Raw genomic sequence first — 14,956 nt, 5'->3', positions numbered from 1 at the left:
GGGCAACTGCTCTTGGATTATGTGACTGAATATAATGTTTAAGATTAGGAGGTTTCAAGTAAATGTTCTTTACTTGAATGGTCATATTTTATGATGCTACCTTTCTTTGTATAGGTGTATATTTACACAGAGGTACATTGACAATTTAATTATACAGAGTAACAAGCATGATAAGCTCTTCTATCTGGTTTATCTTGCATTTTGATAGTAGATTTTAATACTCTAGTTTTTTCTCTTCTCTTTCCAAAATGAATTACTCATCTTCCAATTCCATTCCCCTTTATTTTTCAAACTACAGATGTTTAAATCTGGGACGAATTGTATATGCTGATGCATTTAAGTAATTTATAAAGGCAGACCTTGTTGCAGCGTGTCTTTGAATAATTTTTATTCTTTTATTTTCTATGAAAAAATTTCTTCATTCATCAACAAATAATTATTAAGCTCCTATTAAGTGTCAGGGTACTATTCTGGGCACTAAAGGTACAGTAGTAAACAAAAGGCTCTGTCCTGGTTTGTTTATATTCTGGTCTCAACAATTGTTTACTGCTCTGATAATGAGTTTGCAGAAAATGTCAACTTTGTTATAAGTGAATATAATTTTATAAAATAACTGAGAAGCGACTGGGTGCGGTGGCTCACGCCTGTAATCACAGCACTTTGGGAGGCCAAGCAGGCAGATCACGAGGTCAAGAGATCAAGACCATCCTGACCAACATGGTGAAACACTATCTCTACTAAAAATGCAAAAATTAGCTGGGCGTGGTGGCACGTGCCTGTAGTCCCAGCACTCGGGAGGCTGAGGCAGGAGAATCACTTGAACCCAGGGGGCAGGGGTTGCAGGGAGCCGAGATCGCACCACTGCGCTCCAGCCTGGCGACAGAGCAAGACTCCGTCCCAAAAAAAAAAGAAACTGAGAAGCATTATAATACACGTAATAGAAGAGTTCTCATTCCTACTCATGTAAATAAGACAGTACTGTATTAGAATATGACAAATATTTAATGGTTTTTAATATTTTCATATCTGCCCTTAGTTATTGTTAACAGTTTATTTTAATTAAAGTCTTTATGTCTCTAATTTTTCTTTTACAGAAACTGGCAGACCTTTCACTTCGTATCCAACAAATTGAAACAACTCTCAATATTTTAGATGCAAAGGTTGGTATTTCTCAATAATTTGTAGTATAAACTTTGCTGTGCATATACCAGCTTTCTTAATCATACTTAATTTTCATTGCATTTGGGAGTGATTCCATTTAACTTCTGTATCTGTGAAGTGATACTGGTTGTGTTTTTAATTTTACTGCAGTTGCAAAGAAAATGGTGTTCATTATGAACCATTAATTCAAATGTACACATGGTTTGCGATTTCTTTCATTGTGCTAGGCAAACGCATAATGCGAGTAACATGTTAACAAGCTGAGCTGTTATCTAGTTCACTTCATTTGATAGAAAATTCCAGATTTATTTTACTAGTTATTATTTGATAATACAATACTAATATAAATCTTTAGATGTCTCAGAGCAAATTTTAGAGACAATATCAGCTGTTTCTATTTGCAGATACCTTAAATGCTAATGAGGAATACCAGTTTTGATGTCAGAAATTGCAAATAATAACTAAGAAAAATAGAAGACTGTTTTAGATTGCAAGCTTAAAGATTTTGATAACAGTGATGTCTTTGGTTTCATTTTTAATATTTTTTTACATGTGTTTTTTCTGTTTATAAAGTTATGGAGACACTAGTGTATTTTCATGACTAACTTTCCTGAAGTTAATATTTTCTTTGTCCATTTACCAAAATAAAACTAAGAAATATTCTGTAAATATTTATGAGGAAGAAAAAAATGATATCCCTTTTTAATATGACCAGAATGTCTAGTTTGTACTTTCTACGTCTCTTTATGGACTTCAGCAACTGTGTTTCTCTTAGAACATTTCTCTAGTTTGGAAACCCGGTCTTGAACATGTTCAAGATAGTCCTCTAGCAGCCATACCCACTTGAAACTATTTGGGCCATAGCCACTGTGCTAACTATGGTTATCAGTCAACAGTTCTCAATGAGTATTGCTGCTTGAGATCTTATTACCATTGGTTTTTTTTTTAATTATTATTCTTTATAATGAATATGTGTCTTATTTTAATGTGAATATGTGTCTTATTTTAATGTTTAAGGAATTCCTGGGAGTTAGAGTCCAAGGTCGCACATTAAATGACCATATGGACAAGTTAACCTTAGTTATTTCCATGGCCATAGAGTCATCCCCAAAGTTAGCCAAACATCGACAAATGCGTGTCATTGATATCAGGATGAACTCAGAAAAGAAGGTTTGTATGGGTCTCGCAGATCTAACCTGAAATGCTTAACTATTTCATAGTGAAAGCTAAACCATTTCAGGTTGAAATACCAACAATATGCCCATTTTTTTGCATAGAAGAAACATATTTTAATAACATTCAGTGGTGAATGTTCAAAGAAAGAAAAAAGAATGAGCTGTGTCACACATTAAAGTGTAAAGACAAGAGTTTTGTCATATCCTAGATAATTGAAACTCAAAATTTGCACAAAGCCCTTTTTTTTCGAAGTATTATCAATAGAAATATTTTTACAACAACTTTTCTAGGTACATGTTCTTATCTCCACTTTACAGGTGAGATAATTGAGACACAGGGAGTTTTACACAAGATCACACAGCTTGTGAGTGGTAGAGCTAAAAGTTAAACCTGACAGTCTGACTTCAAAGACCAGGCTCTCAGTCCTTACACTAGGATTGTCTATATTTTGAAAATGATGGTTATGTAAACTAAATTAGATTTTTGAGAAGTTCTTCAAAAGAATTTGTGACCGTCTTTCACTTTTAGTTTATGACATGGAAAATTAAAGACAAGATATTGTGAACCTATTTGTATAGCCTTAAAACTTAAGACAGCTATTAAAAATAGTGTTTATTTATGCAAGTACTATCTTCATATTCCAATACTAATTTTCTTTTCTCAGTTGTCATCTATCCCAGGCCTAGATGATGTCACAGTTGAAGTATCTCCTTTAAATGTCACCAGTGTCACAAATGGAGCACATCCTGAAGCCACTTCAGAGCAACCACAGGTAAGTGAGTTCTAAGAAACGAGCAGATGTTCTTGGTTGAAACTGATAGTGTTAAGCAGCAGGTTGGAAGGAAGAAAAATAAACATGTAAAACTTCTAATAGTAAAATTTTAAAACCTTAACATAGAAAATGAAGTTTGGGAAAAACAAATTAGCTGTGTTATTTTGAAGGGCTTCCTGAAGTTAATACTTTCTTTGCCTGTAAAAAAGAAAATCAGTCTATATAGGACTAGGAAAAAGCTTCAAATAATTATTTTCTTCAAAATAATTAGAAATTTTTCTAGGTTCTTAGAAGAAATGTACTTTTAAAATATTTTATTGTAAAATTTTTAAACATACACAAAAATAGACCTGGATTCACCAGTTTTCACAATTGCTTCATCTATTTTTTTGGTCACTTGCTGAAATTAATTCCAGACATCTTGTCATCTCACCCTGCATAAATTTTTGAGCATCTCTGAAAAGTTTTGACATTTTCTTTTGTAACATTTGCTTATATAAATGCCTTTATCATATACAGTGTAATTAACAATAATTGGCCAGGTGCAGTCACTCAGGCCTGTAATCCCAACACTTTGGGAGGCTGAGGCAGGTGGATTGCTTGAGCTCAGGAGTTCGAGATCAGCCTGGGCAACATGGTAAAACCCTATCTCCACTAAAAATACAAAAATTAGCCAGGTGTGGTGGCACGCACCTGTGGTCTCACTACTCGGGAGGCTGAGGTGGGAGGATCACTTGAGCCCACGAGGCAGAGGTTGCAGTGAACCGAGATTACACTACTGCACTCCAGCCTAGGTGACAGCGCAAGTCCCTGCCTCAAAAATAAAAAATAAATAAATAAATAAAACATTCTCTGGTATTGTCTAACCCCTTGTTACTCAAGTACACGCCATGGACCAACCACATGGGCATCACCTGGCAGCTTGTTAGAATGAAGCATCTCAGGCTCCACCCCAAAACTGCTGATGAGAATCTACATTTTAACAAGACCCCTAGGTGATCTGTAGGCTCTTAAAATTTGAGAGCTACTGATCTTAGAAATACCAGTGTGTTTTTGAAGATGATTCGTTTGAATCAGCATCCCAGTAAAAGCTATACTTTACATTTGGCTCTTAGATCTTAACATTTACTTATGCTTCTGTATGAATTTAAATTTTCTATTACTTTTTATTTCAAAAAATAAAAATTCTTTGTTGTTTGAGAACAATCTCTAGTGTATCTCAGCGAGGTATTAAAATCTAAAACAAAGTAATCATCAAAATGGTGGCCTACCAAAGTAATAATAATAAACAAATAAAACAAACAGATTTATAAATGGAATTCTGCCTTTGTACCTGGAGGCACTTTTCACAGGATATTTTTTAGATCACGATGATGTTGACAGTGATGATAACAGCTAACACTTCAAGAGTGCTTTCTGTGTACCAAGGCATGCACGTTTCTAAGTGCCTTTCATAAACTAATTTAATCTTTACAACAGCCCTATAATGTAAGCACCATATTATCAATCTTAGTTTATAGATGGGTCAAATGAGGTATATAGAGGTTAAGTAACTTGCTGAAGGTCGAAAAGTAACGTAAGAGCTAGAATTTTAACCCAGACAGTCTGGTGCCAAGAGCCCTAGCACTTACCTGCTTCACTACACTATACTACACTACACTACACTGTTTTCAGTACCTGTATTCAATTTATTTAAACATATTGAGGATGCGTGGTATGAGGCCCTGTAGAAAGAGCCATATATTTAGAATATAGTATATATTTGGGTAATAAATTAGATGATCATTTACTTAATTAGATATTATAAAATTTAACATCCATTTATTTAATATAGCAAATTTCATTATGGCCACTCAAATATATAAAATGTGCAAGAGGATATCCAGATGTTGTAGAGGAGTTTAACTTTACATTCTCTCAATTAAATATGACTATCCTCTTTCTAAAATAAAGCGTCTATAAAGAATATTAAGAAAATATTTCCACACTACCTAGTAGTTATTATGTGGTAGATAGAGCTGTCATATATTTCTGTAAGATTTTTAAGTATACCTGTCTAACTTTGATTATTAATTTTTCCAGGTGCTATTATGAATGCCATCTATAATATGCCCTTTAAAATTCTTATGCAGTTGTGTTTGTCCTCACATATTTAATGTCCCAAAAATTGATTACCAGTAATCACAGCTGAATTTCTTAATTTGCTTTGCAAATTCAGAATAACCTGGTATATCTCTGGCAATTTTATTTAAAAATTGTATATGTATTTATTTAGAGGGTTTATGAAGTTCTGTTGGCTTCCAAAGTTTGAAATACTGTGATAAAATTGTGTGTTGATTAGCTTAATAAAATAACTGCTCAGCATGTTCTTAATATTCACATCAACTTCTCATTTATTCATTGTTATTAATTGGTATATTTTATACAAAATATTTTGAAGTGGGCTTAAGTATTGCTTAATCCAGAGTTTTCATTGACATTATAGTCAACTCACTTATCAGACAAAGGAGAATAATGCACTTTTTAAAAAAATCATCTGTTTATCACTCTCTCTAATCTATACATGAGTCAAAGACCCAAGGTTTGTGTACTGATTTTTCTGCAACTTTAATTTCATGGTTCAGATTTCATCATTATTCACAATAGAATATCCAATTGTGCAGAGTGAGATTGATTTGAGAATAAATGAAGGACAGTTGAGAGATATGATAGAGGATTTAATGGGTCATTCAAATAGCAAAGGTGTAATACATTTCATAATTAAACCTTGTTGAGGTCTTGGTTATTAGGCAAAAGTTAACGACTGAGAATTGATATCTGGCCAGGATGTAGTTCATTTGCACCATTTTGCTATTATATGAGTTTAATTTCCATAAATTGTTAAAAAACATACTTGGTTATTGTTTTAATTTTTTATTTAATTAACAGTGTTTTGGAATTTTTGTATTTGTATTATAGATGAATATGTGTGTGTGTGTGTGTATATATATGTATATATATATACTCACTTTGGTAAAACTTAGCAATATCATGTAACAGAAGAAACCTAAAGGATTTTTGGATGTTTATTTGCTTTGTAGTTTTTGACAGATTTAATTTATATTTGAATTATCTGAGGAAAAACTTCAATATGTAATTCACATTCATAGTCTAAAGACTATGAAGATATAAAGATATTGATTTATCTACATTTCAGAATGAACAATAGACATAAAATTGATTTCTTCTAAGGAAATTCTTTTAATGCTTATATACAGATAATGAGAGAGATTCACCAAAGTAAGCTTTTTCTAAATGTTTGGTTTGATAGAAAAATCAAGTACTGTATACAGGCAGTTCTATCTAGTTTTGCATTTAAGCAAGGATATGGTTCTCATATGCACAAGTTTCAGTAACATGGTACCATGCAAAATGAAGACTGCCTGTATAACAATAGCATTTTTATCTAAAAAGACCATTCCCCAGTATTCTTTATTGTAAGTCATATTTAGTATGACATTATGACTTTTAACCACTCTGTAGACAATGTTACCATTAATAGTTCCATCAGTATCTGAAATGTATAAAACCAGATAATTTTGTCTGACAAACTGGCTTCTCTTTTACAACTTCTCCAAAAATTGCTTTCTAAAAGTTAGAAGAGCCATGTCCACTTAGAATAAAATGATTTAATAAATAAAGGGCTCAATTAGGTAGATTCTAGATACCTAGGAAATCAATTCATCATTATCTCAATAAATTTATTATTAATTTGTAAACAGTTGATAGTTTTATTAGCTTTCTTAAAAGTTTTGTTAAAATAGTATCACCACCTATATATAATTCATGCTTTGTATCAGCACTCTGGGGACAAGTAAAGCAGAATTTTTATTTTAATGCATGAATATACTTGCATTTTAAGGAACCAATATAGTGTTGAAATGTAACCTTCTCTGAAATGATATTTAAATATTTGTAGATATTTGGAAACATATCTCATATTAAATTATTGGTATTTAAATTGGGGGAGATGATTTTTTTCTGCAATTTACTGCCTTAGAATTATGGAAAGAAACATTCCTTTTAAGTAACATGATAGACCCCTTTTGTAAATTGTCTAAAGATTTACACCAAATACTCTCTACAGCAGAACAGTACACAAGACTCTGGACTACAGGAAAGTGAAGTATCAGCAGAAAATATCTTAACTGTAGCCAAGGATCCAAGATATGCCAGATATCTCAAAATGGTTCAAGTGGTAAGCTAACTTGGTCTGTCTTCTTTGTGTAGCAGCCTCACTTGAAATTCTTAACCCTGGAGGTTTTACTGTTATTTTTTTCAATCTGAGAAAACTGCTAAACCAAGTAACCAAGTTTTCTATTCTCTTACTTCCTTTCTATTTTAATTCTCTGATTAAAAAAAAAAAAGGAAGTCAAATCTTTAGAATTGATCCCACACTTTAAATTAACATAGTTTAATATAGATTTATGTACATTTTTTTGCATTACACAAAGTTATCAATGCAAATCTTAGATACAGAAAGTAATGAAAGTAGACTATTCATTTGGTAAATCAGTTGACTCTAGCTTAATCCCCATATTATTAGCACAAATAATATTTTTTAAAAATTTTTATGTTTATCAATGATCTCTTGGCCATGTGTAATGCTTTTAATATTATATGACTTCAGAATTCATATTTTTCCTGAGAAATCATAACATGCTGTGGTACCAAAAATATCTGCAGTTGTCTGTGATAGCAGAAGCTAACATTTTTTTATTCCTTTAGAAAGTATTTCAGTAGTTGAAAGAGGTAGTTGTCCATCATTTTTCTGTTAATCAAACAGTTAAAGCCTGGCGCAGTGACACACACCTCTAATCCTAGCACTTTGGGAGGCTGAGGTGGGAGGATGACTTGAAGACAGGAGTTTGAGACCAGCCTGGGCAACAAAGCAAGACCACCTACTTCTACATTAAAAAAAAAAAAAAAAAAAAAAACCTAACTCCATATGATGGCATGCACCTGGTAGTGCCAGCTACTCAAGAGGCTGAGGTGGGAGGATTGCTTGAGCCCAAGAGTTCAAGGGTGCAGTGGCTCACCTCACTGATTGTGCCACTGTACTTCAGCGTAGGTGACAGAGCAAGACCCTGTCTCAAAAAATAATAATAATAATAATAATGCTTTTGTAAAATTATATTATCAAGCAAAAGAAGCACAATACTAATACTAAAGGACAGTTTTGTTTTGCTGTCCATGGGATAGTTTATCACCTAGTAATTTAAAAGCAAATTCTGACAACCAGAAAGAGTAGATTGGCTCATTTGGAAGCTGCACTTTTCCTAGCTATCAGAAGTGGATTTTTCACTTCCACAGTTCTTTTTTTCTGAAGCCTAGAGCTCAGGATATTGGCGGTCAATTTAGAAAAAAATAAACCAGACTTTGGGATGAAAATAGATGAAGTTTTTTTAATTAACAAGAATAAAACAAAGCCAGTTTAAGTATGAATCATGATGAACACGTTTTTAAAGCTAGAACCCAGGAAAGCCTAAGCTTAAAAGATAGACTTGTTAAAAAACAACAACAACAACAACAACAACAAAAACTATTTCACTCTTTTAAACAAAAGGGAGATGCTTCTAAATGACTCAGAAAGATTTTTTATGTTAGCCCCTTCTTGCCAAACCTATATAAAATAACAAACAGGAAAATCTACTAGGTGATACTCTGTAAAAATGCCCTGAAATCTTTATGAAGGCTGCATCTTAGGATAACTGTTAAATTCTTGATAATTGTCTTCAATTTTATAAGAACTTCAAAAAATCTTTTTCTTTTTAAATCCACCATCTGTTTATTTCACAAATATTTATCAAACACTTACTTGAAGCTAAGCTACTGTATTAGGTATTATCTAGATTTATTTAGCCAACTAAGGTTTCCAGATACCACTTGCAATTTTTATTTTTGTTACTAATTACGTCAACAAGTTCAATTGCTTTTCAGTCATAAATATACATATAAAATAAATGACCCGGGCCGGGCATGGTGGCTCACTCCTGTAATCCCAGCACTTTGGGAGGCCGAGGCGGGCGGATCACTTGAGGTCGGGAGTTTGAGACCAACCTGACCAACATGGAGAAACCTTGTCTCTACTAAAAATACAAAATTAGCTGGTCATGGTGGCACATGCCTGTAATCCCAGCTACTCGGGAGGCTGAGGCAGGAGAATCGCTTGAACCCAGGAGGCGGAGGTTGCAATGAGCCAAGATCACGCATTGTACTCCAGCCTGGGCAACAAGAGTGAAACTCTGTCTCAAAAAAACAAAAAACAAAAAACAAAAAAAAAACTGAATAAAATAAATGACCCTTTAAATATTTACTTTTTATTCATATGTCTTATCACCTCACTAGGAATAAGAGCCAAGATCCTTCACAGGCCCAAGAAATCCTATACAGTTTAGCTCCCCTGTTACCTTTATGATCTCATATCCTCACTCACTCTTCTCCAGCTCTACTGGCCTCCTTTATGTCCCTTGAATAAATACATTGGCAGCCCCTGTCTCAGGGCCTTTGCTTCAGCTGTTCTGTCTGCCTGAAACACTTTTCCCCAGATATCTTCATGGTTTGCTCCCTCACTTCCTTCAAGTCTGTATTCAAAAATATTACCTTCTAAGTACAGCCTTCCTTGGCCACCCTATTTTAAATTGCAGTGTCCTCCTACCCAATTCCCTTTACGCCTTCTCTGCTGTATTTTTCTTCTTATCAACTTCCAGCATTCTACATATTTTATGTATTTACTCTCTCTCTTCCCTACAAAGTTATAAACTCCACAAGCAAAGGGGATTTTTTTGTGTACTACAGTATTCCTCATTCCTGCAATAATACCTTGTACATAGTCCTGTGAATGAAAATGCTTATAATTTGTCTATACTATTTCACCTTTTGATAGGTTTAGGTGATGGACTCCTTTTTCACACTAACTCAGTGGTTTGAGAAACTTCCAAAATATAAGTTCCTGGGCCCTACCCTACAAAATTAGAATCTCTAGAGTTGGTACTTGGTACATACAGCATATGTATTTTGGAAAAAAACTCCTGATTAAGAATTGCTTAAAAATATTTTTAAACTATATCTTAATATCATTTACATTTTTTAAATTTAAAAGCATTTAAGAAAATAAATAGTTGTTTTATTTTTAAAAAGCCTTAACTTTTTTCTAGCAGTACTTAGCACTTAACTCTAGCCCATCCTTTTTGCTTGATGTCACTGAGTATGATTAGGGGTTCAATTTCTTCTGCCTCAGACTGTTTCTGATTTAAGACAAATTTTTCTGTTGTTAGCCCTTTGTCTCCTTTCTGCCTTCGGTGAGGGTATATCTATTTCCTAAGCATTTTCAGCATTCTGGAAGGGCTGCTTCTTCCTGGCATCTCCTCCTTCAGGCACATGGACTTGACCTTCTTTTGCTCTGCTAAGTCATCAATCATTCTTCTATCTGCTCTTAATTTTTATGTAATTGGTTCATATATGCCTCTTAGTCATTAAAGTTGGAGGTCATATTCTGTTTCGAATTGTTTAGGGGTGATTTTCAAGAAGAAAGTGGGGAGCTACATCAAACTGCCATCCTAAAACTAGAAGTTCATCCAAGTTAAATTTAATTTTATTGTTTTTAGTTTATTGTGCCAACCTGCATCCCAGAACCTTATTACCCAACTTTTATTTCCTATTGCTCCCTGTCCTGAATTGGATTTTTTTTTTTTTTTTTTTTTGAGACGGAGTCTCTCTCTTGTCACCCAGGCTGGAGCAAAGGGGCACAGTCACGGCTCACTGCAACCTCTGCCTCCCAGATTCAAGCGATTCTCCTGCCTCAGCCTCCTGAGTAGCTGGGATTAAGGTGGTGCCCGCCACCACACCCAGCTAATTTGTGTACTTTTAGTAGAGACGGGGTTTCGCCCTGTTGGCCAGGCTGGTGTTGAACTCCTGACCTCAGGTGATCCACCTGCCTCAGCCTCCCAAAGTGCTGGGATTACAGGCGTGAGCCACCACACCCAGCCCTGAACTCCATTCTTTAATCAGACAAAACCACAAACCATTCCCTATATAAGCTCCATGCTTTTCCTTCTCTGAATCCAGATTCTCTTTCTCTTTATTATTGCATGTCCAAATTCTGTTATCTAACATGCTCCTACGATTGCGTCCACTAAATCATTCCAGATTCTAAACCCACCAACACACGTAAAGCTAGAAGTAATAGCTCCTTTTGTTGACCTATCCAATGACTTTACCGGTATTCTTCCTGGAGTTTGTCACTTAATACTCTGTTTTATGATTATCTGTACATATTTTTGTATCTCCAGTTGAAAATGGAACCATGAGAGGGAGAATGGTATCTTGATTAATCCGTGTATTCATTTTAACACCTTACCCATAAAGGTGCTCAATCAATATTTGTTAATGGACTCTATATGTAATCCTGCATATGATCTCTCCTTCTTCACTTTGTGCTACCTGGATATGTATAAATATGCTCTCATTTCTTCAAGTTATCAATTTAAAATATTTTTCAGGACTAAAACAAGAATAGACCCAGCAGAGGTCTTCCTCAAGGTTGACATGAATCTGCCAATCATTATTTTTTGGATTATGATTATTGAACCATCTATAAATTCACTCCTTCTTCTTCTGTTTTCTAAGCATATCATGAGTGACTGTCAAAATTTCCAACAACAGATGTAGGCTACACATTTGACAATGCCCAGGAATTTTCTTTCCTTGGCATAATCACTACCAGAATTCCTGTCCCTTCTTCATTATCATTTATTTTGGCCTTTGTGTTCAAACTTAGGCGCAAATAGTTGCATGTTTGCCTCATTGCTCCCTTTATTGAGGAATTAAATTTTCAGTGGGGCAACTTAGGAATTTATCAGGTATTCTAATATAGGCAAAATTAAGCTGCTAGTACCTGTAGATGGATAATATCCCCCGTCATGTCTGTATCTTTCTGCTTGTTTACAGTGTTTTAAGAAAGCCTTATCTAAATCTTCCATCCGGCTAGGTAGCTAAAAAGTATGCCCCATCTGATAAAATTTCTGCCTTCTTTTAGCCTCACTTAGGGGTTTCTTTATCTCATGTTCAAGAATTTCCATATATGTGTATATATTTTGATTTACGGTTATTGTCCTCTTTCTGCTGGGAAACATTGTAAGACATTTCTTTGAAATGCCAGTTCTCATACACAAGTTTCTTCCCATTAAGTGTTAGCAGTCCCCAAGATTTACTTATTTTGAAATTTCAGATTTGCTGTATTTACATACTCACACACACACACACACACACACACACACACACACTTTTTTTTAGGCTATTGGATTTGTTTGCTGTTTACATTTTCCTCCTAATAATTTCCTGGCAGTTATTCCACTGTTTTTTCCCTATTATATTATTGTTATTCGTAGGTCTAGTCTTAAAATTTTAACTGAGGATGTTTTAATCTTTTGATTTCAGCGTAAAGCTTCTTGAACATACCTGTGGGTATTATGTCAACATAATCTTTTGGTTCTTCCAAACCACTTAGCACTTTTCCAAGAGTACAGTCATTCTAATGTCATAAGTTATCACCTAAAATATTATTCTTCAGCAGTATCTGCATAGCTAGTTGTGTTTCCTATATCCATTCCATTACCAAATTATAACTTTTAACTGGAAGAGCAGATAACAGTACCACTTTGCTTTAGAAAATGCCTCAGAGAAGTGGAGTGAAGAACAATCACGAGAGACCTATTATAATTTGTACCATTGAACCATTCATTTTCTGTCATTGACATGGAAAGAATACAGATAGCTTTGTATCTCTATACCTCAGGATGGTGATATGCCTTCCTATTTTCTGTGTTTGTCTTCTAATCAGTTGTTCACTCTGAAAATGTGGTTCAATTCTTTGAGTATAACTGAGAACAAACAGGGTTCAGGGGGATATAGATAAAAAAGCAAATTTGACCACTGGCTATAAGGAGGAGCCTAACCCCAGCTAATTCTAGAGGGTGACTTCATTACAGACTACCTTATCATACTGAAAAGTGTTTCACTTTCCCAACAAGATTTTAGATATGTATTAAAATACCTAATTTTTCTCAACTTTAGGGGTGACTAACATTTGCTTACCCACCACTCAAAATTCAGTTTTAGTTCTTAATGCAGAGAAAGACCGATAACAACATAATTCTTTAAATGAGTTCTAATTTGTCCATTAGTATGACCTTGAGTAGTTTACCATCCATTGTACATATGACTACAGCTTATAGAAACAGTTTTAGAAGCCTACATGTCAGCTTTTAGGGAATTGTTTATATTAACACAAAGGAAGATGACATAGTCTCAAAAAAAAAAACTCTTTCTGAAAAAAAAAACTGTATTTATACCAACAATATCTAATCCTTTATACCAACAATATCTAATCCTAAGATCTTAAGAATAACCATCTCTATGCATTCAAAAGGGAATTAACAGTGCCACAAGGTCTTTCACCTTGTGAAAGGGAAATAATAGGATTTGTCTCTTTTCAGTTGCCTTTATATTCTTGTCATTTAAAAATATTAGTTACTGCCCCATAAGAAGAGTCTTAATACCTCTATTACAATTATACTGAGTTTCTTTTTCCAAAGTGTAATATACTTTCACTCAGTATCATCTTGATACATAGCTCCTCAACAATCTTTTAATCATTTCTCCTACTATTTTAATTATTGTTTAGAACGATTTTTGTCTTCTGTAATAGGATAGAATTGTGTTTTTCAAGACCTTTCAGCTTCTTCTGTAGCATAGAAAGCTTTAATTTGCAGACTTCTGATGTGATCATTCACTTCAGATATGAATGAAAGTCTTGCGGGTTACAAAAACAGATTTTTCCTGATTTTAAGACTTCCTGGATATCAGGATGAACTACAGACCCCTTTGGCTTCCTCTCTAAACTGCCATGAAAACTCCCTCTTCCTGGGTACTAACTATCGCCTGGAATGCCTTGCTTTTATATGTGCCTTGCTTCACTTGCCACATACCTGTAAATCTATTTTACAGTCTAGATAATGAAAACTATTTAATCAATATAAACTCCTTTGTACAAAAACCAACACAGTCCTTCACTAATCACAAGTACCAGTTGACAGAGTAATAAGTAATACCTTGTTTTTTGGTCTCCATGCCTTTTTCTGTCACTGCTGGATTACTACCCTCTGAGAGATAAAACAATGATTAGATTAAAACAATGAAAGAAAAGTTGTTCTTTCTCTGGGAGAAAATTTCATTGCCTAGGAATACACCCAGATCTTTTCCCAGTACTTCTGGAATACAACATGGTATAGTTTCTTAGCTTTGCCATCACATCAAGTCATGTCACCTCTCAAGACTTCAGTTCCCTCATACATAAAATGAGATCTGAAGTTCCTTTTAGATTTATGATCTATTAATTGATCCCCAAATTTGGATCTCATTACTAATGAATGTTCCTGGAACACCTGCTGGCATTTTCTGACTTTTTTTTCCTTTTTAACCAAGTTTTATACAAGATTTTTCAGTGAGTAATACTGTTGTGTTCCAAATGTGGCAGATAATTGATTTTGATTTAATGTTTGTCATAATAGTGCAGCACAAGCCTTTACTAAATTACATATTGCTTTTATAACTTAACTGGAATTGTGTACATAGATCACTTTTCCAACAATTCTCCCCTTTTTACTGGCAGATCATGGTGAATCCTCTGCCAGTAATAAATTGTGCATTGGGCAAGTCCGACTTCCACATTAAGAAGCTAATGACTTGTATTTTTTGAAACCATATTTGCCAAAACAGTCTCTTAGACACTTAGATTTTTTTAAAGCT

General features: G+C 34.2%; 1 protein-coding gene across 6 annotated transcripts in view; it reads left to right on the top strand.

The window, feature by feature from the left end:
- The window catches only part of WASHC3 (WASH complex subunit 3), a 49,285-nt gene that overhangs the window by 14,911 nt on the left and 19,418 nt on the right, over positions 1-14,956 (top strand). For 3 of the 6 annotated variants that reach the window (XM_024448998.2, NM_001301107.1, XM_047428921.1), the window contains 3 exons: positions 1,095-1,160; positions 3,002-3,109; positions 7,239-7,346. In XM_024448998.2, coding sequence (XP_024304766.1) covers positions 1,095-1,160; positions 3,002-3,109; positions 7,239-7,346 — 282 coding nt within the window. Of the gene's footprint in view, positions 1-1,094; positions 1,161-3,001; positions 3,110-7,235; positions 7,347-14,956 lie in introns of all 6 variants that reach the window. The other 3 variants (XM_017019383.2, NM_016053.4, XM_011538423.2) reach the window with 1 other exon arrangement.

This window comes from Homo sapiens, chromosome 12 (genome assembly GCF_000001405.40).
Source record: "Homo sapiens chromosome 12, GRCh38.p14 Primary Assembly".
NCBI lineage: Eukaryota > Metazoa > Chordata > Mammalia > Primates > Hominidae > Homo > Homo sapiens.
Note: the sequence above shows the minus strand (reverse complement) of the source record. Positions and strands in the feature narration are given on the sequence as shown.